Source organism: Homo sapiens, chromosome 20 (genome assembly GCF_000001405.40).
Source record: "Homo sapiens chromosome 20, GRCh38.p14 Primary Assembly".
Taxonomy (NCBI): domain Eukaryota; kingdom Metazoa; phylum Chordata; class Mammalia; order Primates; family Hominidae; genus Homo; species Homo sapiens.
The window spans coordinates 45,929,045-45,948,041 of NC_000020.11; the positions used below are offsets into that span (position 1 = coordinate 45,929,045).

An 18,997-nucleotide genomic window follows, 5' to 3' on the forward strand; every position below is an offset into this window, starting at 1 on the left:
TAATCCCAGCTACTTGGGAGGCTGAGGCAGAAGAATCACTTGAACCCAGGAGGCAGAGGTTGCAGCAAGCTGAGATCGCGCTACTGCACTCCAGCCTGGGCGACAGAGCGAGACTCTGTCTAAAAAAATAAATAAAAATAAAAATAATTTTTAGAAAAGAAATTGAGAGGTATGGCAGGTGGGAGGCTTCACTTATATCCCTTAACAATAGAGTAGATAAACATACAGTGGAAAACAAAAAAACAGCAATGAAAATGAACTCACCACAGCTATATGAAACAACATAAAGGAGTTTTGCAAGTGTATTCTTGTGCAAAAGAAGGCAGACACAAAATAATACTGTATAATTCAATTTACATAAAGTTCAAGGAACAGACAAAACGAAACTACAGTGTTTAGGGACACATTCTCAGGTGGTACAACTCCAAAAGCAAGGAAGCGATTATCACAAAAGTAGTTGGAACACCAATTACCCTGCAGAGGTCTTCTGCTTGACTGTTCAGTACCATGGCATGGGTGATGCTAACCCAGGCTCACTTTTTGATAAATCATTAGGTTTTACATTTATGTTTTGTGCACTTTTCCATGTGTGCTATTCTTTTTTTTTTTTTTTTTCTTGAGACGGAGTCTCGCTCTGTTGCCCAGGCTGGAGTGCAGTGGTCTGATCTCGGCTCATCGAACCTCTGCCTCCCAGGTTCAAGCGATTCTCCTGCCTCAGCCTTCTGAGTAGCTGGGACTATAGGCATGCACCACCACACCCAGCTAATTTTTTTGTATTTTTAGTAGAGACGATGTTTCACTATGTTGGCCAGGCTGGTCTCAAACTCCTGACCTTGTGATCTACCCGCCTCGGCCTCCCAAAGTACTGGGATTACGGGCGTGAGCCACCATGCCCAGTCTATTTTGTATACATTTTTTTGAGACAGGGTCTTGCTCTGTTGCCCAGGCTGGAGTGCAGTGGCATGATCATAGCTCTCTGCAGTTTTGACCGCCTGGGCTCAAGTGATCCTCCCACCTCAGCCCCCTAAGTAGCTGGGACTACAGGTGTGTGCTTCCGCACCTGGCTAATTTTTGTGTTTTTTGTAGAGACGCAGGTTTCACCATGTTGCCCAGGCTGGTCTTAAACTCCTGGACTCAAGCAATCCACCCACCTCCACCTCCCAAAGTGCTAGAATTACAGGCATGAGCCACTGCGCCCAGCTATGTTTAAGACACGGTCTCTGTCGCCCAGGCTGGAGTGCAGCTAACTGCAGCTTCGACGTCCAGGGCTCAAGTGATCCTCCCACCTCAGACTCCCAAGTGGCTGGAATTACAGGCCCATGCCACCATGCCCGGCTAATTTTATTTAAAACATTTTTCAGAGACAGGGTCTTGCTACATTGCCCAGGCTGGTCTCTTAACTCCTGACCTCAAGGTATCCTCCCACTTTGGCCTCCCAAAGTGTTGGTGATTACAGGCATGAGCTACTGTGCCAGTCTATCATACACTATTTTTTTTTTTTTTTTGAGACGGAGTCTTGCTCTGTCACCAGGCTAGAGTGCAGTGGTGCGATCTTGGCTCACTGCAGCTTCTGCCTCCCAGGTTCAAGTGGTGTCCCTGCCTCAGCCTCCGGAGTAGCTGGAACTACAGGCGCGTGCCACCGTGCCCGGCTAATTTTTTGTATTTTAGTAGAGATGGGGTTTCACCATGTTGGTCAGGATGGACTCGATCTCCTGACCTCATGATCTGCCCGCTTAGGCCTCCTGGGATAAAGTGCTGGGATTACAGGTGTGAGCCACCACACCCAGCCCCATATGCTATTCTTAACAATAAAAAGGTTTTAAAAATTTGTCTTTGGGAGGCTGAGGTGGGTGGATCACCTGAGGTCAGGAGTTCGAGACCAGCCTGGCCAACGTGGTGAAATCCCGTCTATACTAAAAATACAAAAAAAAAAAAAAAAAAAAAAAAAAAAACTAGTCGGGCATGGTGGCGGGCACCTGTAATCTCAGCTACTCGGGAGGCTGAGGCAGAAGAATCACTTGAACCTGGGAGGCAGAGGTTGCAGTGAACCGAGATCGCGCCACTGCACGCTAGCCTGGGCGACAGAGCAAGACTCCTTTTCAAAAAACAAAACAAAATTGGGCTGTGTGTGGTGGCTCATGCCTGTAATCCCAGCACTTTGGAAGGCTGAAGCAGGAGGATTGCTTAAGGCAAGGAGTTCAAGGTTACAATGAGCTATGAGTGCACATCAGTCTGGGAGATAGACTGAGACTCTGCTTCTAAAAAAAAGGGGGGTAGGGGTGGGAAACGCCAGCTCTTAAGGTAGTCATTAGAATGGTGAGAAGAGGTTGGGTTTTGTTTTGTTTGAGACGGAGTTTTGCTCCTGTCACCTAGGCTAGAGTGCAATGGTGTGATTTCGGCTCATTGCAACCTCTTCCTCCCGGGTTCAAGCGATTCTCCTGCCTCAGCCTCCTGAGTAGCTGGAATTACAGGCGCTTGCCACCATGCCCAGCTAATTTTTGTATTTTTAGTACAGATGGGCTTTCACCCTGTTGGCCAGGCTGGTCTCAAACTGCTGACCTCAGGTGATCCACCCGCTTTGGCCTCCCAAAGTGCTGGGATTACAGGCGTGAGCCACCGCACCCAGCTGAGAAGAGGCTGGTTTTGACATGCGGAAAGTGAGCAAACGGAGAAGATGAGGCATGTATCAGGTGAAAAGCAGTGCTGAACACTGTGAGATAGAGAAACCTTTAAGATACTTAACTATCCAGGCCGGAGGCGGTGGCTCACGTCTGTAATCCCAGCACTTTGGGAAGCCGAGGTGGGCGGATCACCTGAGGTGGGAAGTTCGAGACCAGCCTGACCAACAGGGAGAAACCCCGTCTCTACTAAAAATACAAAATTAGCCGGGCGTGGTGGCGCATGCCTGTAACACCAGCTACTCAGGAGGCTGAGGCAGGAGAATCGCCTGAACCCTAGAGGCGGAGGTTGCAGTGAGCCGATATTGCACCACTGCACTCCAGCCTGGGCAACAAGAGCGAAACTCCGTCTCAAAAAAAAAAAAAAAAAAAAAGATTGAACTATCCAGGGCCACTGTGTCCACTCAGACCAGTCACATCGCCTGAATCTAGATCCCTTCTTCACAAAACAGGGAGGCCAGAGTGGTTTAATGGAACCAGCCCTGCATTTTGGTGTTGAGAACTCCGGGCTTAAAATCCCAGTTTTGTTACTTGTTGATGGCTGTGTGAACCTGGACAATGACTTCGCCCCTGCCCCTCGCTCCAACCTGTTTGCTCATGTGCAGATTTAGGTAATAATTCACAGAATTCCATGATAAAACAGAAGACTAGGCACTTGGGATGTTTGGTATCTTGGTTATCAATTAAGAGAATCTGAACAATGAATGAGAAAATACTTTGAAAACATAAAAGAATAGATAAAAGGCCGGGCGCGGTGGCTCACGCCTGTAATCCCAGCACTTTGGGGGGCCGAGGCGGGCGGATCATGAGGTCAGGAGTTTGAGACCAGCCTGGCCAACATCGTGAAACACCGTCTCTACTAAAAATACAAATAAAATTAGGTGGGAGTGGTGGCGGGTGCCTATAATCCCAGCTACTTGGGAGGCTGAGGCAGGAGAATTGCTTGAACCCGGGAGGCAGAGGTTGTAGTGAGCCGAGATCGCGCCACTGCAATCCAGCCCGGGCGACAGTGCGAGATTTCGTCTCAAAAAAAAAAAAGGGTAATAATCACTACATGGTTTTTAAACTTTAGTGAAAGCGCGGGCTAGCTGGGGGGCATGAGCATGGAAAACTGGTTATCCCGTAGGTCAAGAGCGACCACGTAGTTTACTGCCCAAAGCAGTACTTTTTTTTGAGACAGGAGTCTCACTCTGTCGCCCAGGCTGGAGTGCAGTGGCGCGATCTCGACTCACTGCAACCTCTGCCTCCCGGGATCATGTGATTCTCCTGCCTCAGCCTCCCGAGTAGCTGGGATTACAGGCGCGCGCCACCAGGCCTGGCTCATGTTTGTAATTTTAGTAGAGACGGGGTTTCGCCGTGTTGGCCAGGCTGGTCTTGAATTCCTGACCTCAGGTGGTCCACCTGCGTCGGCCTCCCAAAGTGCTGGGATTACCGGGGTGAGCCACCACGCCCGGCCCAAAGCAGGGCACTTCTGAAAAAGGAGGCAATATTAGTAATTATGCCAGGGCAGCAGGCATAAATCAAAGCTGGCCCCCCACCCTTCCAGAACTGAGACAGGACCCAGGAGTCTGGTTTCCCATCAGGCCTCTTATCTGAACGAGAAGCTCTGCGAGGGCAGAACTGCTGTGCCTATATAGAGCTGGCTTATTTCTGGAGGGCTCAAATCTACTTGGAGCAATGCTCATGCCACTGTGAGATGATCACGGCTAACCGATTCAGCACTTAGGAAGCGCCAGGTATTGCGCTGAGGACTTCACATGCATCACCTGAGTTAATTCTCACCAAACCTTTATGAGGTAGGCGGATTTATTATCTTCCACTGAGGAAACTAAAATTTAAATTGGTTAACTCCTTCAAGGCCACACATTTTGGGTGGAGGAGCAGGGATTGAAATCAGATGAGGATCATGAACCCTCGTTCTCAATTACTACTCATATCGGTGCCTCCGTTTTTCTTGAGCGTCCGCCTGCCTGCCCCCACGCTGGCGTGCAGCCAGGACCATGGACATCTGAGAGGCTACTCAGCCGGGGTACCTACAGCCCCTGGCTCCACACAAGCGCCGGTCTGACAGCAGGTGGCAAGCTTTTCCTCTTCTCAAGCTAGCACTGGAAGGGATGCTTGCTGGGGAGACCGGAGATGGGTGGAGCTACCACTCGGACGCCTGCAGGCTCCTACCAAAAAGAATCCTGCAGGGAGCCGGATGAGGAGCACCTCACAGCTGCCAGTTCCCTGCCAGGCTACCCGCTGTAGCTGGTTTGAGGGCTCAGTGAGGCTTTGAACTGCAACTAATGGCCACAGATGTCAATGTTGGAAAGGCCCTACAATGCATTTAGTTGATTTCCCAACTCTGCCGAAAGCCATCTCTATTACTTGCCCCCGAAGGCTAGTTTAAGTTGCTTCTACTCAAGAGCATTTACAGCTTGGGTTCGATGTATATGTAGCCCGGGCATGGGGCAGGGCTTCTTAACATTTGGACACCACGCAGCACAAAGGCCCAGAGAGGGAAAGAGACTGGCTGGAAGAGGCAGAGCCGCGCGGGTGCCAGGACCCAGGTCCTTGCTACGTCCGGAGCCTACGTCACCACGATGCCTCCCCTGGGCCGGCGGCAGAACCCGAGACCCCCGCAGGTTCTAAGACAGCCCCCACGCCCCCCAGTGCGCACGCTCAGTCCAACCCCGCCGCGCACCGCCCACCGCGAACATCCGGCTCCTGCGTGTGTGCTCGAGGGGGAAACTGAGGCGGGGACGTGCCAGTGAATTCATTCCTTCCTCAGTCCACCCGCAGGCCTACAAAGCTGTCTCCCCTTCCTCAGCGCCACAAGGAACAGCAGGGACGGATGGGAAGAAGGGGAGGGGGCCGAAAGCAAGCTGGGTGCGAGGAGCCAGCCGACCCTGCCACACTCAAGATGGCGGCGCGGCCGCGGCGAGGTCCCTCAGAGGCGGTACCAGCGCATGCGCAGCGCGGAGTCCCGGCCCGGGACACAAGATGGCGGCAGCGGCGCTGGGGAGGGCGAGGCGGAGGCGGCAAAACGGGCGGTCGAGCAGAACGTGTAGCCGCGTCCCCTCCAGTCCGCTCCGGGCAGGTAAGAGTCCCAGGAAGCCATGGTCCCGCAGCGAGCCGCGCCAGGGTCTGGGGATCCGAAGCTGGGGGGCGGCGGCCCCTCCGGCGCTTTCTGCTCGGGACTGCCGCTTGCCCTGTCTCTGTTGCCGCCGCCATCTTAGACCCGCGGGTGGGCGGCCGCGCCGGTGGCCGAAGTGAGGGAGGTGGGCCCGGAGAGCCCCAGCGGAGCGGGCTCTAGGGCCCCTCCGCTGCTGCCGCCGCCACCGCCTTTGTGTCGGGCTCCGACTCTGAGTCGCCTCAGCCCGGGGGCGGGAGCGCGCGGCGGGGCGGGGGGCGGAGCCCGAGAGATGGGCCGGCGCGCGCGCGCGCGCCAAACAGCCCACCCTCGCTGGGGTAGGGGGAGGGGAAGGTGCGCGCGCGCGCGCGCGCTGGAGCTCGCCTCTCGCCTTCGTGCGCCGTCGCGCCTGCGTACTTTGTTCGCCCTTTGACTCCTCCCTACTGGGCCGGAGAATTCTGATTGGTACATTGCGGAGATGGTCCCGCCCCACGTGCCTCCAATCCCGGACTCGGACTCTGGCTTCTGGTGGGTTTTTCTGGTTGCGCAGATAGAGTTGTTTATCCTTGAGCAGCGGTAATTCTCAAACTGCGGTATGCGTGGGGGTCGGGAAGCCACAGGATAAATAAAGACGTTAACTTAAGAGCAGTTATGTCTTACTGGGAGCGTACAATGCTGGACTCTACATATAACGGTCGAGTGATTCCGGTTTATAAGCCGGAAAGCAGAAGGGCCCGGAATCCGGGTCTGTCCAACCCAGGGGCTGGTACTTCGGCCACAGACCTGCTGCGCTCAAGTCACATAGGAAATTAAAAATGGTTTTAATTGCAAAAAATGGGTACATTTTTTCAAATAGTGTGAAAAAATGAGTCATCCTGTCTCCCAGTCACTCTTACGGTGCGTTTTAAAAATACAAATTCTTGTGTGCCTCACCTCCGTATTTATTTCTGGCTTCTGAGATGCGCAGTGAGGCACAGGAGTCTGATTTTTTTTTTTTTTTTACAAACTCCAAGATGATTCTGATGCACAGCTGGCTTTGGAAATACTGCAGTGTCCCCATTTAGCCTCACACTAAGCTGTGCCGCTTGTGCGTATTCTGCAAAGTTCATCTACCCGGTGCATCAATATCACAGGATGTTTCTTGGGGAAAATATTTTTCAATAAAGGCGAACAAGATGTGTCACATAATGTGTTTGCATGTTTTTGTTTTTGCAAGACATTATTCAGAGCGTGTCTTTGACTTGCTGTGGGAGGCTTGGGATTGTGCCCCCACAGATCAGTGATAGGTATGTTTGTTGATTTTTCTCTGGTCTAAGGGTACTTTATTTTATTTTTTATTTTTATTTATTTATTTTGAGACGGAGTCTTGCTCTGTCGCCTGGGCTGGAGTGCAGTGGCGCGATCTCAGCTCACTGCAACCTCCGCCCCCTGGGTTCATGCCATTCTTCTGCCTCAGCCTCCCGAGTAGCTGGGACTACAGGCTCCCGCCACCACGCCGGGCTAATTTTTTTTTTTTTTTTTTTTTGTATTTTTAGTAGAGACGGGGTTTCACTGTGTTAGCTAGGATGGTCCCGATCTCCTGACCTCGTGATCCGCCCATCTGGGCCTCCCAAAGTGCTGGGATTACAGGCGTGAGCCACCGCGCCCGGCCTCTTTTATTTTTTAAGAGATGAGGTCTTGCCCTGTCACCCAGGCTGGAGCACAGTGGCATGATCATACTTCACTGCAGCCTCGAACTCCTGGGCTCAAGTGACCCTTCCACCTCAGCCTCCTGAGTAGCTGGGACTGCAGGTGCAATTTTTTTTTATTTGGGCCCGGCGCAGTGGCTCACACCTGTAATCCCAGCACTTTAGGAGGCCCAGGTGGGTGGATCTCTTGAGGTCAGAAGTTCGAGACCAGCCTGGCCAACATGGTGAAATCCCGTCTCTACTAAAAGTACAGAAAATTAGCCAGCTGTGACTCATGCCTGTAATCCCAGCTACTGAGAGGCTGACACAGGAGAATCGCTTGAACCCAGGAGTTGGAGGTTGCAGTGAGTCGAGATCGTGCAATGCACTCCAGCCTGGGTGATGGAGTCTCACTCCGTCTCAAAGGAAACCAAAACCAACCAAACAAAAAGCTTTATTTGTTGTAGAGCTGGGGGCTCACTATGTTGCCGAGGCTGGTTTTGAACTCCTAGCCCAGCTCCCAAGTTGCCAAAGCCACGTGCCCAGCCTAAGGGTACTTCAGTTGGCAGGACTGGCTACAGAGTTTGTGGGGCCCAGTGTGCAAAATGTAAATGTGAGCTCCTTGTTAAAAAGTTATTAAAAATTTTAAGACAGTGACGGCAGAGCCTTACACCAAGCTCAGGGCTTTCCTGAATGTGGATCCCTGTGCAGCCGTGCAGGTCACATGCCCATGAAAGCAAACCTATTGGTGAGAAAGCTTAAGAGGTATCATTTTCATCCCCTGTATTCCCTCATCCCCTCTCCCGGTGTGTCCTGCCCTGGAGGCCCCCAACTTGCTCTTTGTTTTTGTCCCTCTTGTCCCTGCCCTGCAGCATCCCACAGGTCTGTGACTGTTTTCCTATTTGCTTTCCAGCTGCTGATGCAAGGAATCCCCTGGGCTCCCGTCCACTCCACTGCTGACCAGCCCATTCGCCTGTGCTGAGTCTTCCTGCAGGCCTTTCCTTGCCTCTGTGGGACCCTGTGGGGGTCCATCCGGCTGGAGAAGAAAAGCCTCTCATGCTAACGTTGCAGACCCCAGAGGGTGAGAGAAAGGGGGACTTCATTCAGTCTTGAAACCTGTGTGCTCAGCCCCCAAGGCATCAGGAATTCTTCCTGCCCAGAGAATCAAGGCAGCTTCATTTTTTTCGTACCTTGGTCAGTGGTTCTCAACCTTTTTGTTATCAAGGCACTTTTTGTTGTACATATGTCCTGTTGCCCCCTGCATTTTTATCTGCCAAACTGTACTGATGGAGTAACCATTGACTTTTCCCTTCCTAAATTAAGGAAGACGTCTATGATGGAGTGTACAATAAAATCAGTGTCCCAATGATTCGTATGATGTCATCAACAACCAATCAGAGCTTCTGATCAGCATGAGATAATCAGTGTGACCACAATGAGTTGATAAAATTTCAGCATGAAAAGATAACTGATGTTTAAGCCTGCCTTTGTGGTCTTGTTGTGGGCAAAAGTTTGATTTCTTTTGGGTGGTGTGACCTACTGAAAACAACTTTAGCATCACCAGTTCTATCTCAGTTAGCTCCCAGTTGTCTGACAGCCCCAGGCCAGAAGCACTTTGGCTCCTGAGGCTGTTGCTGGGTGTGCTTTGGGTGGGGGAGTAGGGAATACAGATCTGAAGGAACTGGCCTCCTTGCTGGTACTTACAGTAAATATTCACCTGGGGATTATGAAGGAGTCAATTAGATAGTCCTTCTTGGTTGCATTGGTTATTTTAGCAATAGCTGCTTCCTGCCATGTAGTGTAAAATAAGGTGACCAATTAGATTCCATGCCCTTCCCTAGTGTGCTTTGTTCCTTTTAGATTTTACTGGATGAGAGCAGTAAAATCCCATCTCCTTCTGGGAGTTGTTACTATTCCTTCTTGTAGGAATCGCTTCTCAAGGGCAGACCCTGTTCTGTCTTTTTTGCTGCTCTTGGTGCTTTGTAAATATTTGCAGAATCAGTAGTGCTCCTGTTGGGTCCAGGTCCTAGGCCTGAGCACAGGAGAGAGCTGAATTGGACGCAGTTCCTATTTCTGGAAGTTCTGACAGTTTAGTGGGGAGACAAACCCAGCTGATAGATGAGACCATCTGAGTGCTACGACAGAGGTGTTCACGGCCCTGAGGAGGAGCTCTGACCACCTGGCCTGGGGAGGGGAGAGTCAAGGAAGGCTTCCTGGAGGATGTGAACCCAGTAGCAAGCCAGGCAGAGAAGAGGGGGAGGGGCATTTCAGGCAGAGGAAGCAGCAGGAGTGCACCCATTGAACAGCTGGAATTGCAGCTTAGATCCCAGGGCTGCTGTGTGGCACCATGCTGGCCCTCCAGGATAGGACCTGATTGGATTTCTCCACATCGGTGGGTGGTCACTGGGGCCCTGGGTGGATTGTAATTGGCGGGTGAGGGGGTGGAGCTGACACTCTTTGGTCCTCTGTGTGGCAGGTCCTGTGTGGGTGTGGAGATGGCCAATGAGAATCACGGCAGCCCCCGGGAGGAAGCGTCCCTGCTGAGTCACTCCCCAGGTACCTCCAATCAGAGCCAGCCCTGTTCTCCAAAGCCAATCCGCCTGGTTCAGGACCTCCCAGGTACTGAGGGGGAGCAGTAGTGGGGTGGTGGGGTAGGAAGGGCACCCTGGGAGCAGTCCTGACCCTGGCTGGGCTCCGTGCCTGTTTGCAGAGGAGCTGGTGCATGCAGGCTGGGAGAAGTGCTGGAGCCGGAGGGAGAATCGTCCCTACTACTTCAACCGATTCACCAACCAGTCCCTGTGGGAGATGCCCGTGCTGGGGCAGCACGATGTGATTGTGAGTGCCAGCCTAGGGTGGGGGGGTCTCAGAGTGGCCTCTGGCACCTGGGCCTTCCCCAAATGTACCCTGAGCAGCCGTTCAGTGCCCAGCCCTGTGCTGGCACCTGCAGATACAATGACAAGCAAGACAGACACAGCCCCTGCCCTCATGGAACCTACACTCAAATGGGGTAGACTGACAAGTAAACAGATGATTGCATGGCTGCTGCACGGTGGGTGCTGTGCCGCGAGGCAGGAATGAACAAGGCAGACTTGCTCCCTACGGTCGCAGAGCACCCATGGGCTGCCAGGTGACAGCAGGATTACACTTGTGGTCCGTGTATGAGGAATAGTGTTAGAATACATCTAGATCCTGACATACTCTGGGGAAGGCAAGGAGATGGGAAAAGCTCTGAGAATGAGTGTTTAAGGTGAGAGAGTGAGTGAGTGTGGGGAGGAAAAGAACATTCTAGGATCTGACATGTCAGTACGACGGGAAGTACAGGCATGGGCTGTCTGGTGGGAACATGGGCTTTTGGGTCCTTCTCAGCTGGGGCAGCATTTCTTTACTGGGCACAGTTGAGACAGTTGGCATCTTCATTTTGCATGTGAAGACACTGAGGTTCAAAGATGGGGAACGACTGGCACGAGACCTCACAGTAATAGGCAGAGCAGGACGCACACCTGATGTGAGTTCAGGGCCACACTACTCACCACCATGCATTCTCTCAGTGTTACCAAGAGTCCCATCTGCAGGGCCTTGCTTTTTACAACAATAAGCAGTTTTTGAGCTTTTCATTTATTCCTCACATTCATTCTGTTCTTGAGGAAAATAATGTGTAATGAGTACTGATCTCATGCCAGATGCCATGTTAAGCAGGTCATATTCACTGACTCATTTAATAATCTCAGTGGTGATGTAGGGATTAGCATGGCCATTCTGAAGGTGAGAGAACTGGAAGGGAAGTAACACACCCTGTCGCACAGTTGCAAGTTGCAGGCAGGACTGGAGCCCAGTGTTCTCTGCCTGTATCCCAGCTCCTCTGCTCTTCCCTAAGGAGTAGGAGCAGGGGTGGGAGGGCGTGAGGATTCAAAGTCCTGTGGCTCCTAAGCCGCTGGCCCTGGTTGCAACTCTGCTGGTCTCCCTCCACCAGTCGGACCCTTTGGGGCTGAATGCGACCCCACTGCCCCAAGACTCAAGCTTGGTGGAAACTCCCCCGGCTGAGAACAAGCCCAGAAAGCGGCAGCTCTCGGAAGAGCAGCCAAGCGGCAATGGTGTGAAGAAGCCCAAGGTGAGTGTCTGTGGCCAGGAGCCGGCTGCCGAGCGGCCGGCTCAGACGGGCCGCCTGCAGGCTCCCTGCAGGGGCTGGGCATTGGCAGGCCAGCCAGGAGGGGGGCCTGGGACACAGTTCACCAGGTGTGCACTGTATTGGATGGAGCCTCTCTGGTGAATCTCCTGACTTGACACCTTTGTGACTTTCACTACAGATTGAAATCCCAGTGACACCCACAGGCCAGTCGGTGCCCAGCTCCCCCAGTATCCCAGGAACCCCAACGCTGAAGATGTGGGGTACGTCCCCTGAAGATAAACAGCAGGCAGCTCTCCTACGACCCACTGAGTGAGTCCCTGCTGATTGGCTTGGGGGCACCCATTGCTAATGTCAGCCTGTCTGGGACTGTGGGGTGGTGTGGGTGGGCAGGACATCCTCATCACTCCTCTCTGTGCCCCAAGGGTCTACTGGGACCTGGACATCCAGACCAATGCTGTCATCAAGCACCGGGGGCCTTCAGAGGTGCTGCCCCCGCATCCCGAAGTGGAACTGCTCCGCTCTCAGCTCATCCTGAAGCTTCGGCAGCACTATCGGGAGCTGTGCCAGCAGCGAGAGGGTACCTGCCTCTGGGCTGCAGCCTCCTTTATTTCCACCCACCTTTAGCATGAGCCAGGTTTGGCCAGGCCAGTTTGGGGATGGCGGAGTGGGGCCCAGTGGTGAGCCATGATCACACCAGTGCACTCCAGCCTGAGTGACAGAGCAAGACCCTCTTTCAAAAAAACAAGAGTATCTATACCTTAGGATTCTATGATAACCATTAAGTAAAATGAATAAGTATTAAATGAACTGTAGTTTTTAATTTTATTTATTTATTTTTTTTGAGATGGAGTCTTGTTCTGTAGCCCCTGCTGGAGTGCAGTGGCACCATCTCCGCTCACTGCATCATCCTCCTCCTGGGTCCCGGTTCAGGCAATTCTCCTGCCTCAGCCTCCCGAGTAGCGGGATTACAGGTGTACACCACCATGCCCAGCTCATTTTTGTATTTTTAATAGAGATGGGGGTGTCACGATGTTGGCCAGGCTGGTCCTGAACTCCTGACCTTGTGATGCGCCCGCCTCAGCCTCCCACAGTGCTGGGATTACAGGCATGAGCCACCACACCTGGCTAATTTTTTTTTAAGAGACAGGATCTGGCTATGTTGCCCAGGCTGGTCTTGTACTCCTGGGCTCAAGCCTTCTGCTTGCCTTGGCCTCCCACAGTGCTGGGATTACAGATGTGAGCCACCATGCCTGGCCTAGTTTTTAATTTTTATGATTAGTAATAAACCTATTTAACCTTGCTCAAATATAGAATCCTCTGGCCTTTCACCTTTTTTTTTTTTTTTTTAATTTTTTTTTTTCTTGAGACGGCGTCTCGCTCTGTCGCCCAGGCTGGAGTGCAATGGCGTGATCTCGGCTCACTGCAACCTCCACCTCCCGGGTTCAAGCGATTCTTCTGCCTCAGCCTCCTGAGTAGCTGGGACTACAGGTGCCTGCCACCACGCCCAGCTAATTTTTATACTTTTAATAGAGATGGGGTTTCACCATGTTGGCCAGGATGGTCTCGATCTCTTGACCTTGTGATCCACCCGCCTTGGCCTCCCAAAGTGCTGGGATTACAGGCGTGAGCTACCGCACCCGGCCCACCCTTTTTTTTTTTTTTTTTACATTATGTAATACTTTTTTTTTTTTTTCTTTTTCTAAGATGGAGTTTTGTTCTTGTTGCCCTGGCTGGAGTGCAATGGCACGGTCTCGGCTCACTGCAACCTCTGCCTCCCAGGTTCAAGCGATTCTCCTGCCTCAGCCTCCTTAGTAGCTGGGAATATGGGCACATGCCACCACACCCAGCTAATTTTTGTATTTTTAGTAGAGATGGGTTTTTTCCATGTTGGCAAGGCTGGTCTCTAACTCCTGACCTCAGGTGATCCACCCATCTCGGCCTCCTGAAGTGCTGGGATTACAGGCGTGAGCCACTGCGCCCAGCCTTTTTATTCTTTTCTTTTGAAACAAGGTCTCGCTCTGTCACCCAGGTTGGGGTGCAGTGGCACGACCACAGCTCACAGCAGCTTCAGCCACCCGGGTTCAAGCGATCCTCCCGCCTCAGCCTCCCGAGGAGCTGGGACACCCAGCTAATTTCTTTTTTTTTTTTTTTTTTTTTTTTTTTGTAGAGACAGGCTGTTACTGTGTTGCCCAGGCCGGTCTTGAACTCATGGGCTCAAGCTGTCCTTCCACCTTAGCCTTCCAAAGTGCTGAGATTACAGATGTGAGCCACTACGCCTGGCTAGATACTTATCAACACTATAAAACTAGTGATTCTTAGAATATATTTTGGGAAATGCAGCCTAGAAGCTTCTGAAGTGGGACTGTGTCTTGCTTACTGCTGAATGCGATGCTTCCTATACGTGCCAAGCTCCAAGTGGGACTGCTTGATTAAATCCAGGCCTTCAGCAGCTCTCCTGTCCTGCAGGCATTGAGCCTCCACGGGAGTCTTTCAACCGCTGGATGCTGGAGCGCAAGGTGGTAGACAAAGGATCTGACCCCCTGTTGCCCAGCAACTGTGAACCAGTCGTGTCACCTTCCATGTTTCGTGAAATCATGAACGACATTCCTATCAGGTACAGCTCCACAGCTGGGGATGACCCTGGGCCATTTGGTTTCTGTGCCCAGTCATGTATAGAAGGCCTCTAACTCTGCCCACTCTGAAACGCAGGTTATCCCGAATCAAGTTCCGGGAGGAAGCCAAGCGCCTGCTCTTTAAATATGCGGAGGCCGCCAGGCGGCTCATCGAGTCCAGGTTTGCCTGTCTTCTGCCCCAGGCGAGATGGGTCTGTGATTAAAGTGGCAGGTCATAGGCCATCTTGCCCAGTCTCATGCAGGGCTGTCATTGCTCTCGGTGGCAGAAGTGGGGCCAGCTCCCAAAGGCAGAACAAGGGCTGTGATGGAAGCTAGGGGTTGATACCCAGCGAGCCCATGGAATTGGGATGAGGAGGGTGGAGCCAAGCCATTCCTTTCTTCTGCCCTCCCCTTGACTGGCAGGAGTGCATCCCCTGACAGTAGGAAGGTGGTCAAATGGAATGTGGAAGACACCTTTAGCTGGCTTCGGAAGGACCACTCAGCCTCCAAGGAGGACTACATGGTGAGTGGGTCCCCGGGTGAGAAGGCCAGTTTTAGGGCTCTGTGGCCACTTCCTCCAGGAAGCCTACTCTGCCTGTCCAGGCTGGGCAAGGCCTCCCCCAGCGGCCTATTCTTGTGCAGTATGGCAGACGTTCGACATTCGTCAGTCCCCAAACTCATGACTGTGGAGATGTTTCTCTGGGCTCCTGGCTTTCTCCCACAGAACATTTCCATTAACAATCTTAATGGAGTCTTATGCTTGGCCACACACCACAGATAGCTGCCTTTCAGCCTAATGAATGTTCAGCATCTCCCTTGTAGATTTTTGGAAACAGATTGACAGCCTGCTTTTTTTGGGTGTGTGTGTTCATATCATGGTTAAGAGCTACCATCAGATTCAATTCCCTACTCTTAATGTGTCCAAAACAGTTCTGTTTTCTGGCCAAAACCTATCACTTCTTAAACCTCTCCACCAGCACTAGCAATGGGCTTTCTTTTCAGGACCATATTTCACAAGAGACAAGGTTTCGCACTTCACGATAGTAACTGTGTACTTGACACGTAGAGAGTGACAAAGGTAGGTGTACTCACTAGCCAGAGTGACTCATTCTCACTCTTCAGTTTTACACGTGTGATTCAGCAAAATTACAAATCCCGACAGTCATCTTTGCAAGTAGCTAAAAGCTCAAATCTCAAGTCTGCAGCAACCAAGCACCCTGTTTTGTAATTGTGTCTTTCCCCAATAGACTGCAAACACCATAAGCTGGGACTGTGCTGGTTTGTCTGTTTCTCCGGTAATTATCATGGGATCTAGCAGTGTAACCCCAACAAAAGCTACTGGCATTTATTGTACACTTACTGTATGCCAGGCATTTGGCAAGCCCTTAAGGGAAATGATCACATTTAATATTCAAACTGCCCTGTTAGGTATCTCGTGTCCCCTTGACACTTGAGGAATAAGATTGAGAGAAGCCAGGGGATTTGTCCAAGTGACACAGCTAGTCAGCAGCAGAGCTGGTTTCAAAACAAGGACTGCTGGACTCCAACAGCCCTGCGGTTACCTGCCAGCCCAGCTGAGCCCCTCTGGCCTCCACTAGCGCCCTGATCCAGAATGTGTCCTCTAGGATCGCCTGGAGCATCTGCGGAGGCAGTGTGGCCCCCACGTCTCGGCCGCAGCCAAGGACTCCGTGGAAGGCATCTGCAGTAAGATCTACCACATCTCCCTGGAGTACGTCAAACGGATCCGAGAGAAGCACCTTGCCATCCTCAAGGAAAACAACATCTCAGGTAGGGGAAAGGTGAAGGAGGAGCCAGCTGTGATGCCGTCAGCTCTATACCCTGATGGAAGGGACAAGTGAGACTGAGCCTCAAGGCCAGGGACTGGTTTGGGGCAGAACCTGCCTGTGTCCTTTGGCTGTACTTCTCTGGGAAACGGAGAAGTGATAAAGGGAGAGCCAGATGGTGGTGGTGAAGATAAGCTGGGAGTCGTAGTTAGGTGTACCTGAATTTACATCCATTCTCTGCAAGCCTTACTTTCCCCAGACTGAAGTGTAGCACCTGGTGGTAGGATTGTGTGAGTACTCATAGGTAACTCAAGTAAACCATGTGGCCCCAAAAGATCCCCAAATAAAGGATCGTCGCTATTACGATGACGGCGATGCAGTTCTCGTTCTTCTGCCTGGCAGCACAACCCACGGGCCTGAGCCTTCTTGCCTGACAGCCCAAGGCACGGCATACGGGGCCCTGCTTCGGTACTGAGTGTGTTGACACAGGCCACCAGTTTCTGCCCCGGCCAGTTGCCTGGCTGGTTTCTTTTTATGGCTTTTCATTCCCTTTCTACTGAACTGGGCCAGAGTATACTGATCTGTGGAATGGGACTTCCCTCTCTCGGTACAAAGCATGTGGCCCACAGTGGCTGCAGCGTGAGAATGAGGAGTGTGGTCCCTCACTGCTCTCCCTGCCCACAGAGGAGGTGGAGGCCCCTGAGGTGGAGCCCCGCCTAGTGTACTGCTACCCAGTCCGGCTGGCTGTGTCTGCACCGCCCATGCCCAGCGTGGAGATGCACATGGAGAACAACGTGGTCTGCATCCGGTATAAGGGAGAGATGGTCAAGGTCAGCCGCAACTACTTCAGCAAGCTGGTAAGAGCTGCGGGGAGGAAGGCCCTAGCTGATGGCATGAGTCAGGGCCTAGGATCTTTCCTGAGCAGAGTCCCCAGCAGGAGGCCAGTGATGAGGACATGAGGGAGCACTGCTGAAGGCTCCTCCTCTCTGTCCCGCTCCACAGTGGCTCCTTTACCGCTACAGCTGCATTGATGACTCTGCCTTTGAGAGGTTCCTGCCCCGGGTCTGGTGTCTTCTCCGACGGTACCAGGTACAGGCCTGGGGCAGCAGGGAGGGCTCCCCAGGAGGGAACAGGGAGGGTGAGCCCCAGGTGCTGACGGTGGCCACTCCGCAGATGATGTTCGGCGTGGGCCTCTACGAGGGGACTGGCCTGCAGGGATCGCTGCCTGTGCATGTCTTTGAGGCCCTCCACCGACTCTTTGGCGTCAGCTTCGAGTGCTTCGCCTCACCCCTCAACTGCTACTTCCGCCAGTACTGTTCTGCCTTCCCCGACACAGACGGCTACTTTGGCTCCCGCGGGTGAGGGCCAAGGGCTGCCCCTCTACCCAGGCCAGGGAAGAGGTCCTCCAGAGCACAGGGCCCGCCTCTGCTGGCTGTAGTGTCAGGCAGGCTTGGGTGGAGTCCCTGCCTCCACCTCTTACCGGCTATGTGACCTTGGACATGTTGCTTAACTTCTGGGAGCCTGAGCTTTTCTGGTTCTGTGGGCAGGCACGTGACACCCCTAAGCTGGCCTGTGGGTTTCTCAGTGAGTCAGTTCAGGGTGGAATAGGAACACGTGGTCCCAGGCCCTGAGAGGAGTGAGAAGTGGGGCCACAGACCTCAGAGGCCTTACAAACTAGGGGTTGAGGTGACCACAGATGAGAGAAGGTAATGCTGTCTCCAGAAGGAAGAATGGTCAGGACCTCCAGAGGTCCAGAGCTCAGCAGCTGGGGATCCTGGGTGTAGCTTCTGCTGTGGTGGTGGTGGGCTCAGAACTGGATTTGAATTCCAGCTTGGTGAACATGGGCATCCCAGCCTGAGCCTCACTCACTGTCCTCATTCATTCAGTGGAGACGGTCATGCCTTGTGCCCCAATGAATTAGGGTGAATGCTGGCTTCTGGACAGGCCATCTCTTCAGTGTGGCTGCCTAGGGTTGGGGGGTGGCACCTGTTTCTGGTTGAGGGACTGGGTCCTGATGGGACTTAGAATGCTCACTCCTGTCCCCAGGCCCTGCCTAGACTTTGCTCCACTGAGTGGTTCATTTGAGGCCAACCCTCCCTTCTGCGAGGAGCTCATGGATGCCATGGTCTCTCACTTTGAGGTGGGTGCACTGCCAGGGTGAGAGGTGGGCAACAGGCAGGATTGCCAGCCACCTGGGAGGTAGTCCCTGACATCCACCCTGTGTCCCCTTCCACAGAGACTGCTTGAGAGCTCACCGGAGCCCCTGTCCTTCATCGTGTTCATCCCTGAGTGGCGGGAACCCCCAACACCAGCGCTCACCCGCATGGAGCAGAGCCGCTTCAAACGCCACCAGTTGATCCTGCCTGCCTTTGAGCATGAGTACCGCAGTGGCTCCCAGCACATCTGCAAGAAGTGGGTGCCAGGGAGGGCAGGGGAAGGAGGCTGGGCTGGCCAGGCCAGGCCCAGCCCCACCCTGAGCCATTGCCTTTGCCCGCAGGGAGGAAATGCACTACAAGGCCGTCCACAACACGGCTGTGCTCTTCCTACAGAACGACCCTGGCTTTGCCAAGTGGGCGCCGACGCCTGAACGGCTGCAGGAGCTGAGTGCTGCCTACCGGCAGTCAGGCCGCAGCCACAGCTCTGGTTCTTCCTCATCGTCCTCCTCGGAGGCCAAGGACCGGGACTCGGGCCGTGAGCAGGGTCCTAGCCGCGAGCCTCACCCCACTTAACATATCCTGCGGGGAGGAGGAGCCCCAGGGGTGCTAGTCTGGACTGCTGGGACTCGGGCCCCTGGGGCCTCAGAGGGACCCCGGCTGCCACTGACATATGAAGATTATGGTTCTGCCAGGGCTCCCCTCCCTGCCTGTCCCCAAGTCCTCACCTCAAACTCCCTCCAAGTCCCATGTATATAGGTCCTGATGCCTTCCCAACCCCGCCCCTCACCCTGTTGCCACCTTGTTTCATTTGTAAAAGGAAATACAGAAACCCCCCCAAGAATGTGTGAGGGTCTTGAGG

At 53.0% G+C, this 18,997-nt stretch overlaps 1 protein-coding gene and 1 long non-coding RNA gene across 7 annotated transcripts, besides 8 other annotated features; one reads left to right on the plus strand and one right to left on the minus strand.

The window, feature by feature from the left end:
* Nucleotides 3,565–4,257: an enhancer, noted in NCBI's record as "H3K4me1 hESC enhancer chr20:44561248-44561940 (GRCh37/hg19 assembly coordinates)". NCBI's record gives its function as "activates a minimal SCP1, AML or CMV promoter by ChIP-STARR-seq in primed H9 embryonic stem cells {active_cell/tissue: H9 hESC(primed)}" and the evidence as "EXISTENCE:reporter gene assay evidence [ECO:0000049][PMID:30033119]".
* On the minus strand, nt 4,450–6,027 carry LOC107985388 (pre-mRNA-splicing factor cwc22-like). Its single transcript, NR_171669.1, has one exon. It is a non-coding gene; the product is annotated as a pre-mRNA-splicing factor cwc22-like (long non-coding RNA).
* Nucleotides 4,540–4,689: an enhancer, noted in NCBI's record as "active region_17955". NCBI's record gives its function as "activates an Ori minimal core promoter by ATAC-STARR-seq in GM12878 lymphoblastoid cells {active_cell/tissue: GM12878}" and the evidence as "EXISTENCE:reporter gene assay evidence [ECO:0000049][PMID:35858748]".
* Nucleotides 4,949–5,640: an enhancer, noted in NCBI's record as "NANOG-H3K27ac-H3K4me1 hESC enhancer chr20:44562632-44563323 (GRCh37/hg19 assembly coordinates)". NCBI's record gives its function as "activates a minimal SCP1, AML or CMV promoter by ChIP-STARR-seq in primed H9 embryonic stem cells {active_cell/tissue: H9 hESC(primed)}" and the evidence as "EXISTENCE:reporter gene assay evidence [ECO:0000049][PMID:30033119]".
* On the plus strand, nt 5,639–18,976 carry PCIF1 (phosphorylated CTD interacting factor 1). Of its 6 annotated transcripts, none has more exons than XM_011528980.4 (17): nt 5,639–5,760; nt 8,374–8,654; nt 9,937–10,079; nt 10,171–10,295; nt 11,431–11,568; nt 11,765–11,895; nt 12,009–12,163; nt 14,053–14,200; nt 14,296–14,379; nt 14,622–14,721; nt 15,824–15,986; nt 16,667–16,839; nt 16,985–17,071; nt 17,156–17,340; nt 18,029–18,122; nt 18,219–18,394; nt 18,480–18,976. In XM_011528980.4, exons 3-17 carry the CDS (start codon nt 9,956–9,958, stop codon nt 18,709–18,711), a joined length of 2,115 nt encoding a protein of 704 aa, XP_011527282.1. In that variant the 5' UTR covers nt 5,639–5,760; nt 8,374–8,654; nt 9,937–9,955; the 3' UTR covers nt 18,712–18,976. The 6 variants fall into 6 exon arrangements, 5 of the variants coding, with proteins under 5 accessions (XP_011527282.1, NP_071387.1, XP_016883502.1 ...); NM_022104.4 differs by having other exon boundaries at nt 8,374–8,541; XM_017028013.3 differs by lacking the exon at nt 5,639–5,760 and adding an exon at nt 6,155–6,321.
* Nucleotides 5,641–6,331: an enhancer, noted in NCBI's record as "NANOG-H3K27ac-H3K4me1 hESC enhancer chr20:44563324-44564014 (GRCh37/hg19 assembly coordinates)". NCBI's record gives its function as "activates a minimal SCP1, AML or CMV promoter by ChIP-STARR-seq in naive and primed H9 embryonic stem cells {active_cell/tissue: H9 hESC(naive and primed)}" and the evidence as "EXISTENCE:reporter gene assay evidence [ECO:0000049][PMID:30033119]".
* Nucleotides 5,960–6,169: a silencer, noted in NCBI's record as "silent region_12967". NCBI's record gives its function as "represses an Ori minimal core promoter by ATAC-STARR-seq in GM12878 lymphoblastoid cells {active_cell/tissue: GM12878}" and the evidence as "EXISTENCE:reporter gene assay evidence [ECO:0000049][PMID:35858748]".
* Nucleotides 9,521–10,036: an enhancer, noted in NCBI's record as "H3K4me1 hESC enhancer chr20:44567204-44567719 (GRCh37/hg19 assembly coordinates)". NCBI's record gives its function as "activates a minimal SCP1, AML or CMV promoter by ChIP-STARR-seq in naive H9 embryonic stem cells {active_cell/tissue: H9 hESC(naive)}" and the evidence as "EXISTENCE:reporter gene assay evidence [ECO:0000049][PMID:30033119]".
* Nucleotides 10,037–10,551: an enhancer, noted in NCBI's record as "H3K4me1 hESC enhancer chr20:44567720-44568234 (GRCh37/hg19 assembly coordinates)". NCBI's record gives its function as "activates a minimal SCP1, AML or CMV promoter by ChIP-STARR-seq in naive H9 embryonic stem cells {active_cell/tissue: H9 hESC(naive)}" and the evidence as "EXISTENCE:reporter gene assay evidence [ECO:0000049][PMID:30033119]".
* Nucleotides 14,919–16,118: an enhancer, noted in NCBI's record as "MED14-independent group 3 enhancer chr20:44572602-44573801 (GRCh37/hg19 assembly coordinates)". NCBI's record gives its function as "activates an origin of replication core promoter dependent on BRD2, BRD4, P300/CBP and CDK7 cofactors, and independent of MED14, by STARR-seq in HCT116 cells {active_cell/tissue: HCT116}" and the evidence as "EXISTENCE:reporter gene assay evidence [ECO:0000049][PMID:35650434]".

Coding starts and splice junctions, on each gene's coding strand:
- PCIF1 (XM_011528980.4), top strand. CDS start 9,956: ATGGCCAATGAGAATCACGGCAGCCCCCGGGAGGAAGCGTCCCTGCTG. Junction 18,123..18,218: donor CCATGGTCTCTCACTTTGAG/GTGGGTGCACTG, acceptor CCCCTTCCACAG/AGACTGCTTGAGAGCTCACC. Junction 18,395..18,479: donor TCCCAGCACATCTGCAAGAA/GTGGGTGCCAGG, acceptor CTTTGCCCGCAG/GGAGGAAATGCACTACAAGG.